The sequence below is a fragment of the Homo sapiens genome, chromosome 13 (assembly GCF_000001405.40).
Source record: "Homo sapiens chromosome 13, GRCh38.p14 Primary Assembly".
NCBI lineage: Eukaryota > Metazoa > Chordata > Mammalia > Primates > Hominidae > Homo > Homo sapiens.
In genome coordinates, this window is record NC_000013.11 from 45,995,401 (window position 1) to 46,023,117 (window position 27,717).

Here is a 27,717-nt window from a genome sequence, read left to right on the forward strand (position 1 = left end):
ATTTGACTAAATGTGAAAGGCTTCTTTTTTATCCCTTGTGAATGAGTTGTTTTGATGTTTATAACATGATTTCATTCTTAACACAAGCCTTTCGTAAGCTTAGTGTGCAATATAATCATGTTTGGCTATATTACAAACCCCACATATTTGGAAACACTATTTTACACACATACACCCACACCCCACATTATTCTACTTGTACTAACAAAGCTTTTGGAAATATTTTTGCCCACTGCTGCAATACCAGCTTTAGAACAGGTAATCAAGTAACTGTTGGATGAATAAATGAATTAGCACTTTTACTTCAGCATACCTCCTCCTAGTAAGCTTTCTGAGGCCCCACCAGCAGCAGATGCTGGAGCCATGTTTGTACGGCCTGCAGAACCATGAGCCAATTAAACTTCTTTTCTTTATAAGTTACCTTGTCCCAGGTATTTCTTTATAGCAATACAAGAACAACCTGATCCAACTACTATCAAGTAATAAGCAGATTTCTACACTCAGGTAATTGTGTTGGAATGATTGTGTTTTTAGTTAGCTATGCTCTGAGTACTATTTTTTCATTTGACCACAAAGTCCTACAACCTAGCATTATGATTAAAACATATCACCTGTCAGCAGAATCATACTGAAACCAAAATATCTGGCAGAATGAGCTACATGCAATTGTCAGATAATTTTTCTGATTATTATCCAAGAAGATTTTGTGTTTAAACCCTTGTTCCTAAAATACTACTAATGTATTAGTTTACTTTCCTGATTTAGCATGGGAAACTATAAAGAATATATACTAATATAAGTGAGTACACTGATAAAAGCAAGTATTACATCTACCAAAAGATCATTATAAATATTCAATTTAGGATTATCTAGACATAATAGGTTAGGAATATTGACACAGAGTATTCCCTTCAAAAATTATCTTTCTGACTAAATACCTAAAATAAACTTAATTTCCCTTTGATTTACATCTCTTCTAAACAATTTACAGGAAAAAAAATTAGTTTGTTGGGTTCCCACTACAATAGGCCCAGCTTACCTGCTGTTTTGCTTTCCCTGGTCAACCACAGTCCAAATATACTAATGGAAACTTCCAGAAATAAACAATTCATATGTTTTAAATTGCACACAGTTCTAAGTGGCACAGTGAAATCTTTTGTCGTTCCACTCTACCGCAACCACTATACACTGTATGCACTTGCTCGCTGATCACTTTGTAGCCATCTCAGTTATCAGATTGACTTGCAGTTTGGCAATAACAGTAATTATGCAGTTCGAGTAACCCTTATTTTACTTAATAATGACCCAAAGTGCAAAGAAGAGTGATGCTGGCAATTTGAATATGTACAAAAAAAAAAAAAAAGCCATAAAGTACTTCCTTTGAGTGAAAACATGAAAGTTCTTAAGAAGAAAAACTGTATGCTGAGGTTGCAAAAATCTACAATAAGAAGGAATAGTCTATACATGAAATTATGAATAAAGAAGAAGAAATTCATGCATAGTATATACAAGGTTCAGCACTATCTGCCATTTCTGGCATCTACTGGGGGTCTTGGAATGTATTCCCTGAGGATAAGAGGGGCAGAAATAGTATTTTACTATTCTCTGTAGAGTAGGTCACGGAAAGTTTATTTTAAAAAAATATTATGGGAAATTGCTATATTTTCTGAAAGCACAGTAATAAATCCATAAGGCTTTTTCTCTGCGTAAATGAGTAGTACTCAGGTTTTGATCAACATTGAATAAATAAATCAAAGCTGAGTAAAGTTAAGTTGGAAGACACTGATGACATTCATTTAAGGGCCGAAGTCTCCAAATTATTCAATTAAAAATTAACCACATGATAGAATTTCGTATTAAACTTACAAATACTCTGGGAAGAGTACATTTTTAACAAACTTGATATGCCAATGACAGTTTGGGAGGAAAGTACTCAAATCCTTGACATCAGGTTAGTGTCCTAGGCTTCAAGAATGATTCATAATTCTAACATTTTTTTGGAGAAGGGAAAATCATGAACTTTTCTAGAAGGGTATGGGCACTCTCCCTCACCAAAACACATACACAGGCAAAGTTTTATACATAACTCAAGAAACTTGTAGACCCCTAAAATCCACCAGTGGACTTCGGGTTAGAAGCACCTGATACAGAACGTTGGACAACTGAGACACAATTATTATCTATTATGAGTAATGGATAATTCAGTAAACATTAACTGTTACAATTTATTTTTGAATTTGGACAACTGAGACACAGAGAACAGCTAGAAGGATTTAAAGTCAGAGGATCGTGTAGCATTGTTGCATCTCCTATGCCATGTGTATGCACACCTATGCCATGTAAATGGGTAACTCAATAGAGAGCCATCCTTTAAGAAATGTAAGCAACCGCTTATATCCAGTAAGCCTAGTGGGTCATACTTGAAGGAAAAAAAAACAAACCCAAAGCCAAAACCCACGTATTTGGAAACACTATTTTACAAACACACACATACACACACACACCCCATCACTATATTACTTCTACCTGTACTAACAAAACTTTTGGAAACACTTTTGCTCACTGCTGCAATACCAGCTTTAGAACAGGTATTTAAGTAACTGTTGGATGAATGAATTAGCAATTTTACTTAAGCACAACACCTACTAGTAAACAAAACACTACTAATACGCCCATTATGACATTTAAAGTATTTTTAAAGGGCAATTTTTTCCAAAAGGAATTTAGACATTAACCTTTAATTACATTCCTTATCAATCTGAAGACAGTGACAAAGATACTGTTTAGTTTTAAAATTAATACAGGTACACCTCAGAAACATAGGTTTGGTTCCCACAATAAAGCAAATATCACAGTTAAGTGAGCCACACAAATTTTTTGGTTTCCTAGTACACACACAAGTTATGTTTACACTATACTGTAGTCTTTTAAGTGTACAATAGATTTATATCTAAAAAAGTACAGGCCGGGCGCGGTGGCTCACACCTGTCATCCCAGCACTTTGGGAGGCTGAGATGGGAGGATCACAAGGTAAGGAGATTGACACCATCCTGACTAACACAGTGAAACCCCATCTCTACTAAAAATACAAAAAAAAAATTAGCTGGGCGTGGTGGTGGGCGCCTGTAGTCCCAGCTACTCGGGAGGCTGAGGCAGGAGAATGGCATGAATCCAGGAGATGGAGCTTGCAATGAGCCAAGATTGTGCCACTGCACTCCAGCCTGGGTGACACAGCGAAACTCCGTCTCAAAAAAAAAAATAAAAGTACATAACTTAATTTTTAAAATACTTTATTGTTAAAGAAATGCTAACACCCATCTAAGCCTTCAGAGAGTTTTAACCGTTTTGTGGGTAAGGGTATTATCTTGATGCTGATGGCTGTTGACTGACGAGGATGAAGGTTGCAAAAGGCTGGGGAGGCTGTGGCAATTTCTTAAAAGAAGACAATGATGAAGTTTGTCACACCAATTGACTCTTCCTTTCGCAAAAGATTTATCTGTAGCTTGTGATGCTGTTCGCTAGCATTTTACCCACAGTAGAATTTTCAAAACTGCAGTCGGCTGGGCATGGTGGCTCAAGCCTATAACTACAATGTTTTGGGAGGCCAAGGCAGGATTACTTGAGTCCAGGAGTTCAAGATCAGTCTGGACAACATAGCGAGACCTCATCTCTACAAAAAGATTTTAAAAATTAGCTGAGTGTGGCAACGCAAGCCTGTAAGCCCAGCTACTTGGGAGGGTGAGGTGGGAGGATCACTTCACCACTTGATGGGAGGCGGAGGCTACAATGAGCTGAGATGGCGCCAGTGCACTTAAGCCTGGGTAATAGCGAGACACAGTGAGCTGAGATCACGCCAGTGCACTTAAGCCTGGGTTACAGTGAGAAGAAAAACAAAAAACAGCACACACATACACAAAAAACAAACCTGGACTCAATCCTCTCAAACCCTGCTGCTGCTTTGTCAACAAAGTTTATGTGACACTCTGAATTCTTTGGTGTCACTGTCATTTAAAAAAATGTTTCTAGCATCTTCACCAGGAGTAGACTCCATCTCAAGAAACCACTTTCTTTGTTCATCCATATGATGCAACTCCTCATCCGTTCAAGTCTGATCTGAGATTGCAGCAATTCAGTTACATCTTCAGGATCTACTTTTAATTCTAGTTCTCTTGCTATTTCCACCACATTTGCAGTTACTTCTTTCAATAAAGTCTTGAACTTCTCTAAGTCATCCATGAACGTTGTAATTGACTTCTTTTAACTTCTGTAACTATTAATATTTTGACCTCCTCCTGTGAATGACGAATGTTCTTAATGGCATCTTGAACAGTAAATCCTTTCCATAAAGTTTTCAATTTATTTTGCCCAGATCCATCAGAGGAATCACTATCTATGGCAGTTGTGGCCTTATAAAATGTATTTTTTAAATAAGACTCAAAAGTAAAAATTAGTCTTTGATCCATGGGCTGTAGGGTGCCTTTTGTCTTAGCGAGCATGAAACTATTAATCTCTCCTGACATCTTCATCAGAGCTCCTGCGTAAACAGGCACATCATAAACAAACAGTAGTATTTTGAATGGAATCTTTTCTTCTGAGCAATAGGTCTCAATAGTGGGCTTAAAATATTTAGTAAACCATGCTGTAAACAGATGTGCTGTCATCCATGCTTGTTTTTCCACTTAAGAGCACAGGCAAAGTACATTTAGCATAATTCTTAAAAATCCTAGGATTTTCAGGATGGTAAATGAGCACTGGCTTCACCTTAAAACCCCCAGCTGCACTGGCCCCTAACGAGAGAGTCAGCCTGTTCTTCGGAGCTTTGAAGCCAAGCATTGACTTCTCCTCTCTGGCTATGGACATCTTGGATGGCATCTTCTTCCAATAAGGCTGTATCAACTACACTGAAAATTTGTTTAGTGTGGCCAACATCAATTATCTTATCTAGATCTTCCGGATAACTTGCCGCTGCTTCTTCATCAGCATGTGCTGCTTCATCTTGCACTTTTGTGCTGCTTCATCTTGCACTTTTGTGCTACGGAGATGGCTTCATTCGTTAAATGTCATGAAGTAACCTCTGCTAACTTCAAACTTTTTTCCTGCAGCTTCCTTACCTCTTTCAGCCTCGAAAGAATTAAAGAGAGTTAGGACCTTGCTCCAGATTAGACTCTGGCTTAAAGGAATGTTGTGGCTGATTTCAACTGTGGCTGCTTTGATCTTTTATCCAGCCCACTCAAACTTTGTCCGCATCAGCAATATGGCTGTTTTGCTTTCTTCCCATTCATGTGTTCATTGGAGTAGCACTTTAAATTTCCTTCAAGAACTTTTCCTTTGCATTCACAACTTAGCTGACTGGCACAAGAGATCTAGCTTGCCACCTAAGTTTTCAGTATGCCTTCCTCACTAAGCTTAATCACTTCTAGCTTTTGATTTAAAGTAAGAGACTCTTCCTTTCTACTTGAACACTTAGAGGCCACTACACATAGGGTTATTAGTTGGCCTAATTTCAATATTGTTGTGTCTCAAGGAATACAGAGGCCCAAGGAGATGGTGAGAGACAGGGGACTAGCCAGTCAGTAGGGCAGTCAGAACACACACATTTGCAGATTAAGTTCACTGTTTTATATGGGTGCAGTTCACGACACCCCAGAACAATTACAATGGTAATGCGACAATTACTGATCACAGTCCATCGTAACAGATACAATAATGATGAAAAAGCTTGAAATATTTCAAGAATTACAGAGACACAAAGTGAGCACATGTTATTGGAAAAATGGCACTGATAGGCTTGTTTAATGCAGGGATGCCACAAACCTTCCATTTGTAAAAATACACAACATCTGTGAGCTTCAATAAAATTGGTGCGCCTGTAATTTCTTCATTCAGAGTAATGGAGACAAATGAAAATAACAGCCCCACCTAAGAACCTTGGTAATTAACTCTTCCTAAACCAAAATGTCTTTTTCCAATGTCTTGTCACATATGGCTTTAGAACTCCAGTGCGTGCAGATCAGGTATTTACATAATCTTCCAGTATTCCTAGCTCTGTTGTTTCATGTCCTTAGATGAAAAAATAAAAAATAAAAATAAATTTAAAAACCAAGTTCAGATTTGTCTACATACTAAATAACAGGTGAGTCCTATGCATACCATTTAGGGATAACCAAGGGAGAAAAACTGGAAAATGAAGGATAAGCCTGTGTAATATTCAACTCCTCATAACACAAATGTTTTTACCATTTAAATGATAAACTACCTAGCAACAGGTGTTAAGAACCAACTCTCAGAGACTTCTTAGTCAAAATACCAAAATAAAAGTACAAAGAACCATTAGGGAAAACTAAAGGCTTTACTGATAGAATGTCAATCACCAAAAACATTTATTACTGATAGAATGTCAATCACCAAAAACATTTACATGTAATTTTCACAAACACACCTGCTGGACTGAGTAAAATATAGAGTATAGTCTAAGAAAACATACTTAAGAACTCTGAAGTCTTCAGTTAACTGTTCTCTTGCATGTCAAGAAGACACAATTAACAGAGTGAAAAAAAAAAAAGCAACATATGGAATAGGAAAAAATATTTTAAAATCTTATCTCTGTTAAGGGGTTAATGTCCAGAATATATAACGAACTCTTAGAACTCAACAGAAAAAAAATCAAATAACCCAATTAAAAAATGGGCAAAGAATTGGAAAGACATTTCTCCAAAGATGATATACAAATGGCCGACAAGCACATGAAAGGATGTTCAACATGGCTAATCATCAGAGAAATGCAAATCAAAACCTCAATGGGATAACACCTCACCTCAATGAGATAAACACACCTATTCGAATGGCGACTATAAAACAAACAAACTAAGTGTTGGTGAAGGTATGGAGAAACTGGAACACTTGTGTACTGTTGGTGGGAATGTACAACAGTGCAACTGCATTGGAAAACAGTAGGCAGGTTTCTCAAAAAAATTAAAAATAGAATTATCATATGACCCAGCAATTCTACTTCTGGGTATATATACAAAAGAACTGAAAGCAGGGTCTCAAAAGGGATTATTTACACATTCATGCTCATAGCAGCACTATCAACAATAGCCAGGAGGTGAAAGAACCCAAACACCCATCAAATGGATGAATGGATAAATAAAATGTGGCATATACATACAATCAAATATTATTCAGCCTTAAAAAGGAAGGAAATCCTGTCACATGCCACAGCAAGAAGGAACCCTGAGGACATTCTGCTAAGTGAAATAAGCCTGTCAAAAAAGACAAACACTGTATGATTCCACTTATATAAGGTATCTGAAGCAGTCAAATTCACAGAAACAAAACAGGATGATAGTTAACAGGAGCTGGGAAAAGGTGGAAAGGGGGAGTTATTTTTTGACAGATACAGAGTTTCAGATTTGCAAAATGAAAAAGTTCTGCAGAATTGTTTCACAAGTGTGAAAATACTTAACACTACCAAACTATAAACTTTAAAATGATGAAGATGGTACATTTTGTTTTTTTACCACAATAAAAAATTGAAAAATAAATTGTAAAAATTAAGGCTTACTGAATTATCCATGACTCATAATAATAATTATTATGGGAATTATTAAAATAAATATACACACTATTGTAAACAAAACTAAAAAACCCAATATGCTAATGCCCAACGGCTTCTGAAAAGTAAATATTCTATATTCTACAAAAGTTAATATTGTTAAAAACATACAATCCTACTTACCTTGGCTTGTCTCTCTTTTCTCTTTGTCGTTCAAAATCTCGTCCTCTGTCCTTTCCATCTCTTGTTTTTTCTTCTATCCTGTCTTTTACTTTATATTTTTCTTTGTATTTTTTCCCCAGAGCGATATCTTCTGGTATAGGAGGGGGTGGACTAGGAGTACGTGGTCCTTTCTTTTTACTTTGGTTGGTTTTTGAATTTCTGAAGGTAACAAAAAGCTATCATTAGAGGTTCAAATATGCCAAAAGGATATTTTTTAAAGCCTTCTTAAAAACAGCAGCGTTCCTTTACATTACTTGCCCTTTATTATTTTGTATACTACTAACCAATATCAAGAAGAAAAAAAAACTAACAGAAATGGCTGAAGAATTAATTTACTTGATACTTATTTTGTTAACACTGCTTATTATTATATAACTTTAAAGGGGCAGGTTTCTGAGAAAAGATAGAGGTGAAATAGGAAGACACTTTCAGAAAAGATGTTAATACAATGACTGTTTAAACTGTTTTTTTTTAAGACAGAAAAGTAGACAAAGAAAGTAAAAATCACCTATAATTCTACTACTCAAAGAGAACTATTTTTAACATCTTGAATATTTACATACTTTTGCCATATATCTTACTTTCTCTGTCTATTCATTTAAAACTGGGTATTCACATGCAAAAGAATGAAGCTGGACCTTTACATTGCACCAGATCAAAAATTAACTCAAAATAAAGACCTAAACATAAAAGCAAAAACTATAAAAATCCGAAAAGAAAATATAGAAGAAAAGCTTCATGACATTGGACTTGGCAATGATTTCTTGGCTATGACACCAAAGGCACAGGTAACAACAAAGCAAAAATAGACAAATGAGACTAAATCAAATTTTAAAACTTTTGCATGTCAAAGGACACAATCAACAAAGTGAAAAGGCAACTTATAGAATGCGAGAAAATATGTGCAAATCATATATATATATAGTCACAACTATTTTCTCTCATCATTGGAAATGGTAACTCTGTGTGTGTGTGTGTGTGTGTCACATACATTCATGGGATATCCTATTACAATATTTTGCAAAATTTTCAAATATTGAACATAGACATAGTGTGAGCATCTTTCTGTAACAAAAAGTAGATTTAGGTTGGGCATGGTGTAATCCCATCACTTTGGGAGGCAGAGGAGGGAGGGGTGGATCACTTGAGGTCAGGAGTTCGAGACCAGCCTGGCCAACATGGTGAAACCCTATCTCTACTAAAAATACAAAAATTAGCCAGGCATGGTGGTGGGTGCCTGTAATCCCAGCTACTCCAGAGGCTGAGGCAGGAGAATCACTTGAACCCGGAAGAAAGAGGTTGCAGTGAGCCAAGATTGCGCCACTGCACTCTAGTCTGGGTGACAGAGTAAGACTCTAACTCAAAATAAAATTTTTTTTAAAAAAGCAGATTTAGGTAATCATTTTTATTGACTGTATAGAATTTCCCTGAATAGATGCTCCAAAACTTTCTAAAACAATTTCATAGTTTTTCAGGTGGCTTCCAGGTTTTCATCATTATTCAAAAAACACAATTACATCATCTACAAATGAAATATCAACCACTGTCAGTATATATTCATCATAAATTTCTCAATCTTATTTAAGAAATTTTTACCAACTCTGAGGTCACAAAGATGGTCTCCTAAAATTTTGTAATTTTGCCTTTCACATTTGTCTTTAATCTACTTGTAATTGATTTTGGGGTACAAATTTTGTTCTTTAAGTGCCTCTTTTTGGCAATTTAAGTAATTTTAAGTAAATAGTATAACTTTGATCCCATACACATTCAAAACTGGCTGTCTTTGCCTCTTACTTTAACAATAGTTTAATTGAATATAGCATTTTCATGTCAAAATCCTTTTACCTCAGAGCTCTAGTTAAAATATTTTGTAACATTTAACGTTGCAGGTCAGAAGTCCAAAGAAAATCAAATTTTTTACTATTCAGGTAAGCTGGTTTTTCTGTTGGCATGCTTATGAACATTATCCCTTGAAAATTACTCACTGGAAAAAGATTTTCACTAAATCCAGGTATTTTCAAAAAATCTTTTCCAGCACTAAATGGACTGTTTCAATCTGAAACTTCAAACTTTTTACTCAATTTCTTCTATTTTCATTTCAAAACTTTTCCTTATGACCCAAGTCTCTGCAGTTCTCTTTATTACACAGTTACTGTATCTCTTGGATCTCTCCTCCATGTTAGATGTCTCTGTCATTTCCATTTTTCCTGCTTTTCCAGGATCTTAAATCTGTCTTTATATTCAGTAATTTTTAAAGTAGTACTCATTTTGCTAATTCTAAATTTGGCAATCTCGTTGTTCTGCTATTTTTTGATTTCTTCTTTTTTTTGGAGACAGTGTCTCGCTCTGTTGCCCAGGCTGGAGTGCAGTGGCACAATCATGGCTCACTGCAGCCTCGACCCCCAGGGCTCCAGTGATCCCCATGCCTCAGCCCTCTGAGTAGCTAGGAGTATAGGTGCATACCACCACAACTGGCTAAATTTCATATTTTTGTAGAGACAGGGTTTTATCACGTTATCCAGGCTGGTCTCAAACTCTTGGGCTCAAGTGATCTGTCCACCTCAGACCACTGCATCTGTCCTATTCTATGATTTTCCATTTGAACTCTTTTCTCTTTTAAAATATTGTTGTTCAGGCTGGGCGACGTGGCTCATACCTGTAATCCCAGCACTTTGAAAGGCCAAGGTGGGCGGATCGTGAGGCGGTCAGGAGTTCGAGACCAGCATGACCAACATGGTGAAACCCCGCCTCTACTAAAAATACAAAAATTAGCCAGGTGTGGTGGCGCACGCCTGTAATCCCAGCTACTCAGGAGGCTGAGGCAGAAGAACCGCTTGAACCCAGGAGGCAGATGTTGCAGTGAGCTGACTGCACACCAGCCTGGGTGACAGAGTGGGACTCTGTCCCAAAAAAAAAAAAAAAAGTTGTTCAACCTGGCACCAACCAGATCGATAAACTGGCTCATCTGATCTTGTAGCCCCCACCAAGGAACTGACTCAGCACAAGAAGACAGCTTCGACTCCCTCGGATTTCATCTCTGACTTGACCAGTCAGCACTCCTGGCTTACTGGCTTCCCCCAGTCTCCCTGCTGCCCCGCCACCAAGTTGTCCTCTAAAACTCTGATCCCCAAATGCTCAGGGAGATTGATTAATAAAACTCCAGTCTCCTGCAAAAATATAAAATAAAATAAAATAAAATAAAAATATAGTTGTTCACAGTTTTTTTCCCATAATCAACTGCTTTTGTCTTCTAAATACAATATCCTCACAAATTGCACTAAACTTATAAATGAATTTATAATTTAAGTTTGTTCCTGTTTACTGTATTAACGTTTCTGTGTAAGCCATCTGCTCAGAGTGTTCAGTCTGGTACTAGGTTTGCAAGTAACCCTTTTCATACATCTGGTGAGTTTTCACTATCTACTAATCTCACTATCTACTGATATTTATAAATGAAGACCTAAGCCTAAAATCCTAGAACTTATTTCCTATCATGCTGAATTCTCAGAATTCTCAAGTCCCAAGAGTTCTTAGCCATATATATATATGAGATAGTATCTACCTCAAAATTGCTGGCAATATTTTAAAAGCACTTGACTCATAGCATTGAGAAAATGTAGCTCTCTTAGTCCTCATCCCTATGTCTTATTATCACTCATAGCGTTAACCATGTAAACAAGTAGGAAATTACTAAAATATGACGACTAAATCTAGTTTTCATCCTTGTCTTCTGCCAACAACTATATTAGCCACATATCTCATTGCATATTCATGAGATGACTCAATCTTCTTATGCACCCTAACAGATATGTGATAAATATCTGTATTTCTGGATACTTTTCTACTTTAAAGATAAAAACGGATCAATAATTAGCATCTGTATCAAAATTATCTTTTAAAATTTCATGATTAAACAACAAAGGAATTCTTGACACAAACTATTTTTACATTATCACCTGTGACAGAGACTAGCAGGGGGTTTACCAAACTTTTCTTCTGAGCACAGTGGTAAACCATACTATCTACACTTTCTTGAAATTAAGCATGGCCAAGTGACCAAGACCTGGCCAAAGGAACGTGAGTGGAAATGATGTATACCACCTCCAGGCCCAAATTTCAAAGGGCTCTCATATGCCAGGCAATTGTAAACTATAGAGCTAAATAACTGCAATACTCAATTTCCGTTTTTCTTTGTACATCCCGTTCTTTGGTTTCCTTGAAAACCCAAGAAAGTGGAATCATGGTCAGAAGGAGCCTGGGTTACTCAATCTCCATATATAGGACAGCCATCTGTCAATCAGAAACACTCATTTTGACTTTACGTGAGAAATAACCTTCTGTTGTGTTAAACCACCGACATTTTGGGACTTGGCTATAATCACAATCTGGACTATTCTAATATACTTACTAAAGTACAGCATTTCTTCACATTACCATCAAAATTATATGTGGTTAGAAAACACAATTACGTTACAGTGCTTTCCAACTGAAGAGGCCAAAACTGGTTTTGTGTATTCTGAAATCACCAAGATCTTCAACATTTAAAAAGTCAACTAATTGTTGTTTCAGTGGCACAGAGCCTACTTCAGACTTGTGGCAAAGAGCCCACCTGTTTACTTTTATCAGTTTTTAATCTTTTCTCTCTCTCTTCAAAACTATTGTTTTAGATTAGCTTTTGACATACTTAATATTCTCTGTACAAAGAGCTATAAAGAAAAATTCACCTAATAAAAACTAAGATTAAAAGTGCAGATGGACAGAATAGGTAATATATTTATGATTTTAGATTATACCATATCTCATATATCAGGACAAATCTTACTATCAGACTATATCTCAAAATAAATGTCAAACAAAGAAAAATGCCAGCTTTCAGGGAAAAGTGTAAGTTTTAATTTGTCAGTAATTATATCTTTCCATTCAATATGATAACCTAGTAAGACCACCAAGAAATTTGTTTACCTGATTATCACACCTCAGTTGGCTGACACTGGTTAAAATACTCCACTGAGTTTTAACTGAAATTCTAATCCTTACATGTGCTTAGTATGTTCTGAGTTGATAGTATGATCCAGCAATAAAATTAAAAGATGATTACTTGACACACTCTAGGAAATGTAAACTGCATAAATGTTATACTCCAAAAAAAAAAAAAGAAAAGAAATGCTATACTCAATTAAATGTTTTCTTTGTATTTTTAATATACTGTTTTTCCAGGTCCTTTTGCTTTTATTATTAAATTAACGGTGCATCGTAAAGTCAACAACATAGTAGAATATAAGAAATACAGTAATTAAACCAGTGTGAATGATTATTCATGACAAATATTTATAATAGGATGTGTTACTAATAAAGAAGCAAAAGAGATTGTATGTAAAAGATGAAACTAACCCTTTGTCTAAATAGTTATCAAAACTTTCTATGAAAAGATTAAGTTTCAAATATTCTATAAACAGAACAGATAAGACAAGGAAGAAAGGGTATTTCTAGTATGCAGTTTATTGGGGAAATGAATAGAATTGAGGGAAAGTTACATAGCTGGTTAGCCAAGAGGATAAGAGCAAGTGAAGTGGAGCGTATCACTCTCTGTTCATTCAACTTCTTCAATATACCTTTGCAATATTTACTCAATTGCATGAACAAAGGATAGGATCAACTCAACTTTACTGAGCGCCTTATTAAAATGCAAAGTTCTATGCCAAGTAGGCAATATGAGGGAGAGGATCAACTCAACTTTACTAAGTGCCTTATTACAATGCAAAGTTCTATGTCAAGTAGGCACTATGAGAAGACAGAACTATGAATAACCAAGATCCCAATCTTCAAGGAGCTTAAATTTAATAAAGGTTATAAAACATAAGTCACAGCTGAAATATAATGCAACAGGCAATTATTATCAACATGGAGGTATAAGCAAAATCTGATAGGTACCTAAAGGGAACAGAACTTATGTTCCATAAAGAGAAATGGGAAAACTTAAAATTTGAGCTAGAGATTGAAGAATTGAGATAGAAGGGGGTAGATAGGAGGAAGCTGGACAAAAACTACTGACAAGAAAGAAAAGACCAAAGTGTAAATGTCATTCTAAGGAATCTGAATTTCATTCTACAGAATGAAAAACCACTGAGTTTTTCAATGGTATAATAAATTAATTGGAATTGTCCTTTTAAGATTTCTCTGACAGCATCTACAAAATAAATGGGTTGAGGTAGCTGAATGAAAATGTTCACCTGTGTGGGTGGTGGGTAGAAACTACATAAAGTCAATATAGTTAGTGATATAATAATCTAGGCAAAAAGTTAAGTAGAGTCTGAAATAGGGTTAGTTTCTAGGAACTAGAAGGAGGGAGATAAATATGAGTTTCATTACAGGTTCAAATAGACAGGGCTTGTTAACTGATTAAATCTTAGGTAGAAGATATTTTTAGTTCATTTTTTTTAAGATAAAATTAGGGTATGGACTTTAATTAAAATAAAATATAAATAGTTCAGAGTGACCTTAAATGAAAATGTATCTTCTCCTTATTCTTAGTCCCTGAATATAATCATTTCTATTTTTACTTCTTCAACTGGCTTCTACAGTAATTCTAAGTTATAAAGAATTCAATCTCTTGATAATATATACTGAAAGACAAAAATTTTTTGTGTATAATTTGTAGCAGTTTAAAAATCGGAAACAACATAAATGTTCCACAGAAAAGCAGACAAATTTATAATATAAATACTAAGATGAATGAACTAAGGTTATATGTATCAATATAAACATAAAAAATGTTGAGTGAAAAAGCAATGTGCAGAAGGTTATGATATATCCCTATTACAATAGATGAAAGCAATACTATACATTGCAGAACACATATTAGTTAAAGTATAAACACATGCACAAGTATCATAAACACCAGATTTAAGAGAGGAACAGGAAATGTATCTTGTATTTTTATTTCTTAAAAAATAAAAAGCTCTGAAGCATATGTGGATGTTACACAGATGTTTGTTTTATTGTTCTCTATAATTGTCTTTTTAATTGAAACATTTCAAATTTCTTTTTAGAACAAAAAAGCTTACATTAAATATAAAATGTACTAAAAGTACCCTTTTATAACCTACTAATTCTTTTTAGTATCACTTCAGAAAAAGCTATTTTCTCGATACTATTTATCACCCTACTGACCTCTGCTGGTCCAACAGGGGAGAAGATACTGCAGATGTCTTCCTATCTTTCTTGCTAGCTGAAGACGACTTCGGGCTTGATTTTCGCTTCGGAGATTTGCTAGACTTTCTTAGAGAAGGTGACGGGGACAATTTTGATCTAACCACTTCTGGTGAAACCTTTAAAAAAATTCAGTAAGTCAATTCAGAAATTCCTCCACTTATGGTACAACAAGACTTACAGTATTTTAGAATCACACCAAACTTCAGATTAAAATTAAATATTATTGCCGGGTGCAGTGGTTCACACCTGTAATCCCAGTTTCTCGAGAGGCTGAGGTGAAAGGATTGCTTGAGGTGAGGAGTTTGAGATCAGCCTGGATAACATAAAAAAAACCCTATCTCTTATACAAAAAAAAAAAAGCCAGGCATGGAAGGTGCCTATGGTCTCAGCTATTAGGGAGGCTGAGATGGGAGGATCCCTTGAGCCCAGGAGTTCAAGGCTGCAGTGAGTGCCACTGCACTCCAGCCTGGGTAATAGAGAAAGATCTCATCCCTACAAAAAAAGTTTGAAATAAAAATAAAAATAATAAAATTATAATAACCACTATCTGTTGATATTAGTCTGACTCCTGAATCCATGATTTTAAGCAATATAACTGTCCTAACATATACCAGTTTCAATAAAGTAAATTAAAATCATAAAATTTCAAAATCTCCTCAGAAAAATCATAAATTATATTTAAATTAACTGTATCTTCACTTTTTAGAAAAGAAACAAGGCATTCTAGAAATAGCATGGGCCTGAAACAGACATAGGCAGATTCAAACCCCATGTTACATTAGCTGGTGACTCTAGGCAACAAACTCTTAGCTTTGCTCACCTATTCAATAACATAAATATTTGCTACTTATCTAATAGAATAATGTGAAAATTAAATGAATATATATGGAGTAGTACATATACAGTGGGTTGATCAATATATCAGTATACTAATATAATTTAAGATGTAGCAAGAAGCTGAGTTATCTGATCAATACAAATGCTGCTATTAAGTACTAACATATTTATTGCAATAAATAGCATACCTCCTTTTTAATGATAATTTCTTCTCTCTTCTCCATGTTTTCTTGTTCCAGCTTCATTAATTCCCTCTGTATCTTCTGACGCTTCATTTCCAATGACAATTCATGAACATAATCATAATTAATATCTCCATTGTCAGAATCTTTAAAATAAAATTGCATTACTGTTAGAAACTAGCATAATTATCTATGCCAAAAATCATACAGACTTTTTTCAACTAATTTCTTACACAAATCTAAATAGCAGAGTCTTTCATCAGGATCACATACTTCTAAAAGATAAAAGAAATAGATACCATTTCTATAAAGGATTAAAATCACCATGGTTGATTTCTTCATGAAAAGCCAAATATTTTGGAAGTTTCTGGGTTTTCTGGAAACAATTTTGGGTTGTTTGGAAGTTGGGTTTTTTGTTAGGAGATGGAATTTTAAAAGACAAAATGCACTCAGCTGAATTTCTAAGCCTTAAAGATACCAAAGCCTTCAATATTTCATGCTGTATACGATGCGACTCATTATCTCCTTGATTTTCCTAAAGATACGCTACTAAAATACATCATACAAAGTGAGGTTATATTACGTGTGCAACATTGCTTCCATAGGCTTTTCAGTTTTAAAATTTGTGAGACAAATGATTAATATCTAAAACTAAAGTAATTTTAGTACTAATGTGTACATAAACTAATTTTTAAAGGATTTATGACATTTTCTTTACAAGTGATTTGTACTATTTCCTTAGATCACAACTGTCCGTCTCAACGGATCTGATGCCATATTTCTATTTCCATTTATATTTTCTGATGAAAAGCTATGAAGATTGGTTAAAAAATCAAGAGTGGTGTGTAGATCTATTTCATTAAAATACATAGAAGTTGCTGGCACTAGCACCCAAACCCATCACGCTCATTTGCCATAAATGCCCAGGAGCCTAGAGGTGGGAATTTCATTGACCACGATGGACTTGACTGACCACAAACTGAGGTGCCTTCTCAAGATATACTTCTAGCACTTTAGATCATATCTTAACCTTGGGAAAAGAAATAAAATGAAGAACTAAAAAAACAACAAACATAAGAAGTCCTACTTGACTGCTTAAAACCCAAGAAAATGAACATCACTGTTATATATTGCTCAAATGCATTAGAATGACAACTATCCATTCATGCTTGGGGACTGAGAGGGTAACTATATATATTCACTACCTGTGTGACTAAGCTTGATTACTCATCTTATGTTGGAGTACAATGACAATTTCTCAGTAAATATATGAAATAGGCTAAAGCATGTTTTTCAGTCAGAAAGCAATTACTAAATATTTAATTAAGGGCAAGTAGTTTTCACTAGATAAAATGAAGACACTGAATTTAATTAAGTGAATACTAGCTATCTCCAGTTATTATTTTGTACTCTATTGAGATACTTTACATCAGTGAATAATAGGAGTCAATGTTCTGGTTTGATTATGTTCCTAAATTCAATAAAATTCCATAACCAAATACCCAGGTAAAACAACGGAAAGAGTAGTTAATTGAGAAGAATGATTAACAGTGTTTCTGACGGTACTGTATTATCAGTAAGGCACTGCCAATCTAAAAATTCGCAACTGGAAATATCACCAATACAGAACACATAAAAGAAAGAAGAAGCTGGCTTTCAGTTCTCAATTTTCAACTATCCAACCAAGGGGGAGAGGCCTGAGCAGTTAAAATATATGTGTAAGTCAGCCAGGCGCAGTGGCTCACGCCTGTAAGCTCAGCACTTTGGGAGGCCGAGGAGGGCGGATCATCAGGTCAAGAAATCGAGACCATCCTGGCCAACACGGTGAAACCCCGTCTCTACTAAAAATACAAAAATTAGCTGGGCGAGGTGGCGCGTGCCTAGAGTCCCAGCTACTCAGGAGTCAGAGGCAGGAGAATTGCTTGAACCCGGGAGACGGAGGTTGCAGTAAGCTGACATCGTGCCACTGCACTCCAGCCTGACAACAGAGCAAGACTTCGTCTCAAAAAAAAAAAAACAAAATAAATAAAAAGTCTAGTCAATGTAGTAAATATAACTAATATAGTTTGCTCAGAAGAAAAGCTCTCAGGTCTTTATTCTGAAGGTGCTTATTTTACGCATATAATAAAAACTCAGATATTTTCCTAACCTGTAAGAGATGGACTACAAGATAGGCACATTGCAACTGACAGTATTTTGACAACAAAAGAAAAAACAGGAAGTACAAAATACAGGATGGAATTCAAAAACAAGAGTCTGAAGCCAGTTAATAAATTTAGAAAATGTCTCTCATGTAGCTTCAGGTTATCACTACAATTTTGCCTTATAAAAATTGATTCACATAAATGATTGTTAAGTCATCAGAAAAATATCAAGTATAATTAGAAAGGTATATTTAACAAGGTAGATATTTTTAAGAATATACAACAGAAAAATATATGCAACACATAAGAAAAGGTTAAGATTCTTTCTATATAAAGAATTCTTACTAATTAACAGAACAGGTAAAGGACATTACAAGGCAATTCACAAAGAGAAAGAAATGAAGAAAGTATACACATATTTTTTCATGTATTCAGGAGCCATTTTTTCTAATTATAATATTAATTGTTGGTAAAGGTACAAATAAAGGACATACTCATTCTCTGGCAGTAGCAATGCAAACTAGTACATCTATCTTGTAAAATTATTTGTCAATATGGGTAAAAGCCTTAAGAACATCAATACATAACTTTAATTTTAATACAGCAACTTTTTTTAAAATTTATTTATTTTACTTTAAGTTCTGGGATACATGTGCTGAATGTGCAGGTTTGTAACATAGGTATACATGTGCCATGGTGGTTTGTACCTATAGGTACAGGTTGATGTACCTATCAACCTGTCATCTAGGTTTTAAGCCCTGCATGCATTAAGTACTTGTCCTAATGCTCTCCCTCCCCTCACCCCCCATCCCCACAACAGGCCCTGGTGTGTGATGTTCCCCTCTCTGTGTTGATCAGCAACTTCCAGTAATTTATTGTATAAAAATAATCATAGATATATAAAAGGTTTATGTATAAGGATTAAAAACTATAAATACTTGTGAATTGCCTTGTTACATCATGCTAATTATATTTAACCTTTTTCCAATGAGTTAGTATCATTTATGTGTATCAGTTTTTAACCTCAAGCTGTCTGAGACGTTTTCTAAATTCATTAACTGATTTCAGACACTTGTTTTTGAATTCCATTCTATATTTTGTACTTTGCCTTTATGATACATTCTCATTGCTAAAGTCTTAAATAATTCTGAATACACAGAGTAAAATATGAAATTTCCCTTATATTCCTCCTACAGCCATCCTTACTCCAGTGATAACACTGCTAACAGTTTAGTGTCATATGCATGAAAATAATGTTTTACATTTTTCCCTTTAACATTCAACACTGCCCTATAAACAAGATCTTTCCAAGTCATAGAGTTCAACTATCTTCATTTTAACGTCTGCAAAGCATTTCATTAATATGATCATACTTTATCGTAGCTTACTTAAAAGAGTTTCCTTCTTAAAGACAGATGAACTGTTTCCAGTATTTTGCTGTTAAAAACAAGACTTATATGAACATTTTGATATATACTTTGGTTCAAGTGCAAGTATTTTTCTATGACATTATTTCTCAGACTACATTGCTAGACTGAAAATAAGTATAATTTCTATTTCTAATAACACCAAACTGTACTCCAAAACTCCTTTACCAATGTAAACCCCCACTTGAAAACATTAATGTTCTTCATTTCTGCCAAACGAATGGGTGAGTAATCATATCTCTTTATTTTCATCAGTATTTCCCTGCAGTAAGATTGAGCATTTATTGGCCAGTTCTATTTCTCCTGTGAGTTACCTATCTGATACATATATATTTTTACTCATTTTTTAACTAGGCCGTCTTTTTCTTATGTATTTGTAGAAACTCATTATATGTCTATATAGTATCTTTACTAATGCTTACACGTTACACATGTCAAGTATTTTCTTTTACCATTTCATCTGTTTTTAACTTCTGCATTTAGTTACACAGAAACTCCTAGTTTTATGTAATCAAATGTTTGTGGCTTCTGGGTTTTATGCCCTATTTAAGGAGGATGTACTAACCTCCAAGATTACCAAAATATTTTCACACATTCTACTGCAATGATACTTTTACTTTTTATGTTACTTCATTGGTCCTTAAGAACACATGATGAACAAATACAAGAAGTTTAAGGAACCAAATAAAAACCACAGACTTCGGAGTGGGGCCTGGAAATACAAAGAGTAACCAGATAATCAAAAGTTTTATAGGCGTAGTTAGAATTTGTACTTGCTCCTGAAGGCAATGGGAAATTAGGGAATTTGAAACAGGAAAATAAAATGAACATTCAATTTATTCTTTTAAAAGACTGTTCTGCAACTCATAGAGTGGGAGAAAACACTAACAATATATTTATATATCTGATAAAAATCTCATATCCAGAAAACATAAAGAATTCCTCTAATTAACAAGAAAAAAAAAACAGGTAACACAATAGCAGAACGGCAGACATTTGGAACAGACACTTCACAAAATAGGGTGTACAATGGTCAGTGAACATGTGAAAAAGTTTTCAACTTCATTAGGAGAATGCAAACTAAAACCACAGTAAGATACTACTACAAAATTTTAGAACAGCTATGATGAAAAAGGCAAAAACACCGTATGGTTAACTGGAACAACCATTTTTGATCTGAAATTATCTACTAAAGAGGAACACATTCACACTCCACAGCCCAGCAATTCCACTTCGAACCATAAACTCAAGAGAAATTGATATGTGTCTGTACATGTTTACCAAAAAATATGTTTAAGAATAGTAATAGCACCTTATTATGCATAATAGCACCAAACTGGGAATTACTTGAATGTTCATCAACAGTAGACTAAATTATGGCATATTCATACAATAAAACACTATATAGCAATAAGAATGATGCAATAACAATTAATGAATGATATGTGAAATAAAGTACAATCTCAGATAATACTGTTAACAAAAGAAGCTAGGCACAAAAAGAGTACATGCTGTCAATTCCATTTATATGGAGCTCAAACACACAAAACTAATCAATGGTGCTAGAAATCAGGACAGTAGTTACCTTTGAGGGGTGAGGGTAGGGAGGAGTGACTAGAAGAAAACACAAGGGGACTATGGGAAACTAGTAATTTCCTACTTACTGATTTGAGTGGTTTTACAAATGTGTTCAGTCTGTGAACATCCAATGGGTTGGACACATGTATTGTGCATTCCTCTGAACGTATAGTATACTTCAGTAGAAAAACTTTGTAAGAAAGATTATTCTTGCTTTAAAGTGGGGGATTAATTAGGAGACAAGACTATAAGCAAGGGATGGGATTAGGAGGTTATTTTGGTAAAATCTATTTATAGGCAATAAATAAATACCTTAAGAACTAGAATATTAGTAGTATATCAAGAGAAACAGATGGTTTTCAATGGTATTGGGTACATAAAAATATCTATCTGGTAATGCCTGGGTGGAGGGAAAGAAGTGTCAGTGATGACTCTCAGGACTGTTGGTATCTGGTAGGAAAAGTGATGCCCTTAAGATACATAACTCAGATGGAGATGCCCAGTTGGTCAATGCTAAATTGAGAGCTCCAGATTTTGGAGTCACTACACGTACGACGTTAATGAAGCACTGGGTGCATGATTTCATCTAGAAGGAAAAATTGAAAGTGAGAAAAGAAGATGGCTAGGTAACAGGAAAACAACCAAGTTTTAAAAGCTGTTCTTACAGACAAGTGATTCTCAGAGAGTGGTCTGAGGATACCTAGGAGGTCCCTGAGACAATTTCAGGAGTTCTACAAAATCAGACTATTTCTATAACACTACATTGTTTGCCTGGTGTACTCATTCTCCCATGAGTAGATAGTGGAGTTTCCCAGAATATGTGATGTGGTTAACAGGTGGAATGTAGAAGCAGGTAAGAAAATCTACCTATCAACTATTAAGCCAGATATTAAAACAATTTGCAAAATGATGCAAAACACTGCCACCTCCTCACAATTATTATTTTTTGCTTTGCAAAATAGTTATTTTTCATAAAAGCATATAATGGATTTTTATATGTCATTGTTAAATGAATGAATACATAAATATTAAAAAATTTTCTCAGGTTCATAATATGGCAGTTATGGAAACATAAAATACACAAGGATAAAAGTTATTTGGGGGTTCTGAAAAAGCATATAAAAGTGGCCTAAAAACCAGAAAGTTTATAAATATACCAATTTTTTCTGAATCCAGCTAAAATTGTTATTCCAGATAGAATAACAATGCAGAAGGTAAGTCTATGAAACCAGTTTAGTCTCACTATCCAGGGAGTGGGGCACTTAACTCAATGCTTCAATATTCCCTCAACAGATACTTTCAAATCACAGAGATACACAATGGTCAAAAACTGTGCGTTTCAATCAAGGAAAAGCATAAGAAATTCTTATTAAAGACATTTACACTCACCTTTTAAAAGAATTTCCTATATAAAAGGCTCTTGAAATAAAATCACTTTAGATTTTTTAAAAGAATATAGTTAAGTGCAAATCCTTGGGAATCAACATTTAAGGGGCACACAGAATACAAGGAGCCTCCGTGTAAGACTGAAGGGCTTGAACAGGAAGATACAAAACTGAAGAGTGATAAATAGAAGCCAAAAGAAGAGTCTTTTTCAAGAAAACAGGAGCTCTTGATGTGTCAAATGCTGCAGACGGCCATTTAGGATAGTAACAAGTACATCTCCATTTATTCTGCAATGAGGAGGTCATTAGTGACTTTGAAAAGCAGTTTTAGTGGAGAGTTGGGTCAGAAGACTGAATAATAAGTATCAGGTGAAACAGTATCAAGTAGAAACAGTAAGGCACAGAACTGTTTTAAGAATTTAGTTGTTAAGTGGGGATAAGCAGGATAGTGACTAACAGTAAAATAGGGAGGAGAGAAAATGGATGTTAAAGATATAGAAGAGAGTGTATCACAAATGAACAAGATTGCTGAGGCAGGAGGAAATCAGATCTACAATACAAGGGAATTATTCATCAACCTTATACAGCAGGAAGGAGGCCTCTTACACAGAATAAGAGGGAAGTAAAAAAGTTTAGGCACAAATAAAAACTTAGTTTGAAGGTGTGGTAGGAGGAAGTTGAGGGAATTCCTAAAGATTTCCATTGTCTCTGCTTAGTAGATAGCAAAAAAGAGAAATGAAAGCATAGATTTATGGAGAAGGTTTGACATACCTACCAGGAAGAAAAAGAACAGACTTGGGCTTTTCTGAACCTTTTATATTTTCAACAACTACTAATTATTGTAATGACAACTGAAAATATTTTAAAGATAAGAAGTATCAAATACATTTTAAAATGTTTTTTATGCAAAAAAATTAAAATGAAAAGAAAGGATGCTTGGGTGTGTTAAAAGGTAACCCCTTAGTATTTAGGAAAAGTTAGCTCTCCAAACTTGAACAGTTATGGTTTATAATATTTTATTTAAATATACTAGTCAACTAAAATGGGAGAGTATAGCTGCCTTTATTGCTATTTTGTAGAAGCGGTATTAGGTTGGATTATGAAATCCTGAGTAACCATAAACAAGTTTCCTATTTGTTCTTAGAAGCAATTTTTTAACAGCACTGTCCAAAGATGGAACAGGTTTCCTTTAAGTACTGATGTAACAATTACTGGAAAGATGTATTTACAATACTTTACAACTGTTAGTCTATTAAGTCTTCAGAGATAATTCTGAAATATAGTAGTTAATATTGTAGTCTTGTAGCTTCTCAGTTCTCTGTCATAAAGACTCGACTTGGCCACTGTAGCTCAAAAGCAGCCACAGACAATATGTAACCAAATGGATGGACATGGCTGTGTTCCAATAAAACTTTTTTTGCAAAAACCAGTGACTGGCCCACACACTCTAGTTTTCTAATCCCTGGTCTAAGTTTTCAGCTTCTCACTGAAAAAGTTGCTTAAATTTTTAAGATCTTTAGTTTTGTCATCTGTAAGTAGAGTAACAAAGCTATTGAAATAATAAGACAATTATATAAATTACATTAAATTGTCCACCCCCACTCAATGCATTTAACAAATACAAGTTCTCTTTCTCTGTGTTTGGTAATATGACATTACAGTGCCCATCTTTCAGAACATCAAAGAGGTGGAGAAAACATTCAAGGGGTGGAAAATAAATGCTTATTGATGACTCAAAAATGATTTTGCTCCCACCTCAGCTTCCCAAGTAGCTGGGATCACAGGCATGCACCACCATGTCAGGCTAATTTCTTTGTTTTTTTGTAGAGATGGGGTCTTACTTTGTTGCCCACACTGGTCTCAAACTCCTGGGCTAAAGTGGTACTCCAGCCTTAGCCTCCCAAAGTGCTGAGATAACAGGCAGGAGGACTGCTTGACTTCAAGAGGCTAAGCTGCAGTGAGCCATGATTGTACCACTGTCCTCCAGCCTGGGTGACACAGTGAGAGCATGTCTCAAGAAAAAAAATTTTTTTGCTAATTTTTTATTAATAAATCCAGGTCTCTATCTTAATCTGATTTTGATTTCTTCTGAAAGATAAAAGTCAAACATTTCTTGGAAATAACTTTCCCAAGTCCTTAAGATTTAAAAATCTCATTTATAATATTTTATGTAAAACAAATATAGATTTCATTTTAAGCTTAGCGTTAGGAATTTTTAAATTTACATATGCAATACAATCCTGAAGGGCTGTAATGCTGCACAATAAAGTTCTAGAGGGAAAACTAGGAAGGGAAAATAAAAATATGCAATGCAAACCACTTTCTCTGCCTTTGTACAGCTACTATATGCCAGTTTTTGCCTTATAATTCAGTAAGATAGAAATATGTCAATAAAATGATTCTGAAACGAGAGGGATCACAGTCGAAAGGTGTTCTGAAGCCCACGAAAACTCTAGAAAGTAAATAATCAAGAATTCGCCATTTAAACCAAGATTCTGAAACTCACCATCTCTATTAGTTTCCCATTCTACATTTTCTTCTTCACTTTCTGGAGTTCTTTCCTTAGTGATTTTTATGTCTTCCTTTTCCCTATGTCTCCCTCTTGAAGATTCTTTCTAAAAAAGTACATACATACATTCAGATTACTATATTTTTAAAAATTATGAGGTAGTTTATTGTAATAAGAGAACATTTTAATTTCATTCATCTCTGTTTCATCAAAGAATCAGTTTTGTAAATAGTCACTTATCCACTAAGTAGAGAAAGTGACAAATTCTAGTTTAGCACCACAATGAAAAGACTATACTCCATTTTACTAAAGAACAAAAACTACTAAACAACAAAAACTAAAAGAGATGTAGACTATACTACATCTATTTTACTAAAGAACAAAAACTTTAAATATTAAAGAGTAGCTAAGATGTAAAAATATACAATGCAAATCTAATACTTTAACAAACTTGTGACATTCAGCTACACAGTAAGTTTCCACGTGAAAACCACTGGGGAAAAGACAGTTTAAAATGAATAAAATACAATGGAAGGATTTGTAAGTGATTATATTTTAAAATGTCAAAAAAGGGCTAAACCATTCACCACAGACTTCTAAAAATAACTGATCTAGGACTTGTCATATATTCAAGTAATTGTCATTTTCCTAGACACCCAAGGATAAATCCAAACTCATTTAATAGTATTATAAAGGTTTACAAAAATATATTTTACCCATTTTGATGAAACCAAATGGTACCTAAAATAGTAAATTAGTCCTCACTACTGCTGCTAAAAAACAGGTTTTACATTTTATTCCAGGTATAAAAGCAGCTTACACACAAAAAAGGACAAAATTAATTCAGATTATAAAAGTCAATTAAATGTCCTATTACATAAGAACTCCAAATCATATTTTACTAGGTGGTAAGAAAATAAAAGTAACCAGTGTTATATAATTGTTATCTTCCACCACAGCAGAAGTCTTACTTTTACTAACATTGTAAATACTATGAAAGACACTTACACACAAGGATATTAAGTGCTCAAATTTCTTTCTGAGCATTACTAATCATAAAATTTGGCTGCTTAAAACACAAATTAATTTCTCTTTGTAGTTTTCTTCTTAAAGAACTCTAGTATATATAACTGCCCCTAAATTCTACATATTTAGGCATGAAGTCATACTGTAAATATTACTGACAAAATTTGGATTTGATTGCTGGTAAGACAACAGAGGCTGACGAAAATAATTTGTAAGTTATATGAGAATAAAACCTGCCATGAAAAAAATGGTGAAGAGTCAAGAAAACAGAAATGGGCCTCTACTTGAACAGAAGACAAAAGGAAGAAATATAATTTACTTTTACTCTTAAAACATATTATGTGGAACATCAATGAAGAACTATCCTACATCCCAAACAATTTTTGAATGTTCTGTGGATTAAACCCACTGTAAATATACATTACTGAATAACTATACCAAAAATATTTAATAGGAGGTTATCTCCAAATTATTAAATAACATATTCTGTGCTTTCTGTCCACTTAAAAGTATGTAAAATCCAATTGCAAGTCTAGTTAAAAAGGGTGTCAGAGCAGTAGTGCTGGTGCTGCAAAATCAATCTATAAATTTGTAACATTTTTTATCAGATTTAGAGCCAGAAATGTTGTATCAATAAATGTCATTAATAATGATGTCTGTAAATATTTCATATTTACCCTAAATATTAAAATTATAATTTTTGAATTGTCCATGTTTTCCAATATGACTCTGATGCTACTCCCAGAGATCATATATAACTTCTATTATTAGGTACTAGAGACTGAATGCAGGCTTAAATAGGTGATGGAATTTCAAGTTCTTACCTCAAATCATAATATAGGAAATTATTTTGGTAACATTTATTAAGAAGGTCTAGCTAATTTAAAAAATACCTTATTTCCTAATTTCCCCCACTTCAACAATGTGTAACTTGTTTAGGTATGTTATGCCTTTTATCAAACAAAGTTATTCCCCCTTTTCTCTTATACTCAAATAAATAGGGTATGGTATTACTCGTCCAATGTAGTGTAGCACGGTCTACTATTCCACCTTGCTGTATTTCTTGAACAGAATGGCTTCTCATCTTCTCTTAAATCCAAACATATTAATTAAAAGTATAACCTACTGATTACTATGTGTTGTAAATTAGTCATCCTGGAACATCTAAGTCTTGAAATACTTGAAGAACCACAGTATTTTAGCCAAAACCCTTGGGATCAGATATTTTAAGAGTTCAGAATTTTTTTTTTTTTTTGCATTTCAAAGCATATTAAGTAGTACTACTGTTCCAGTGGAGTCTGGAACAGTAGCCTGTGACCAAACATACTAACATTTTTGCAGCAAAACACAGAAATTCACCACTTGTATAAAAACTGTAATTAAATTTATTTCAATTAAGACCAGGTTTTGCTCCCAAATGTCTGTGTCTTAGGAAAAATGTTTGAAGTTTTTTGAATTTCAGAAATGTAATACATGATTTTAGATGTTTATATTACTTTCATTTCCACTCTCATATGCACATTTATTTCTTGAACATTATATGCGTGGGCAGATTATGTTCATCATTAATTTTAGATAAAAAGCAAGCATTACAAAGAATATGAAATAGGAAGTGTCAAGGCTAAGAGAGTTGAGAACCA

The 27,717-nt window shown here is 34.3% G+C and overlaps 1 protein-coding gene across 28 annotated transcripts in view; it reads right to left on the reverse strand.

The window, feature by feature from the left end:
* Positions 1-27,717, reverse strand: part of ZC3H13 (zinc finger CCCH-type containing 13) — a 98,282-nt gene that overhangs the window by 40,936 nt on the left and 29,629 nt on the right. For 27 of the 28 annotated variants that reach the window (NM_001382214.1, XM_047430207.1, NM_001382207.1 and 24 more), the window contains 4 exons: positions 25,049-25,157; positions 16,015-16,154; positions 14,948-15,105; positions 7,739-7,936 (listed from right to left, as the gene is read on the reverse strand). In NM_001382214.1, coding sequence (NP_001369143.1) covers positions 7,739-7,936; positions 14,948-15,105; positions 16,015-16,101 — 443 coding nt within the window. In that variant the 5' untranslated portion in view covers positions 16,102-16,154; positions 25,049-25,157. Of the gene's footprint in view, positions 1-3,925; positions 6,061-7,738; positions 7,937-14,947; positions 15,106-16,014; positions 16,155-25,048; positions 25,158-27,717 lie in introns of all 28 variants that reach the window. The other variant, NR_167893.1, reaches the window with a different exon arrangement.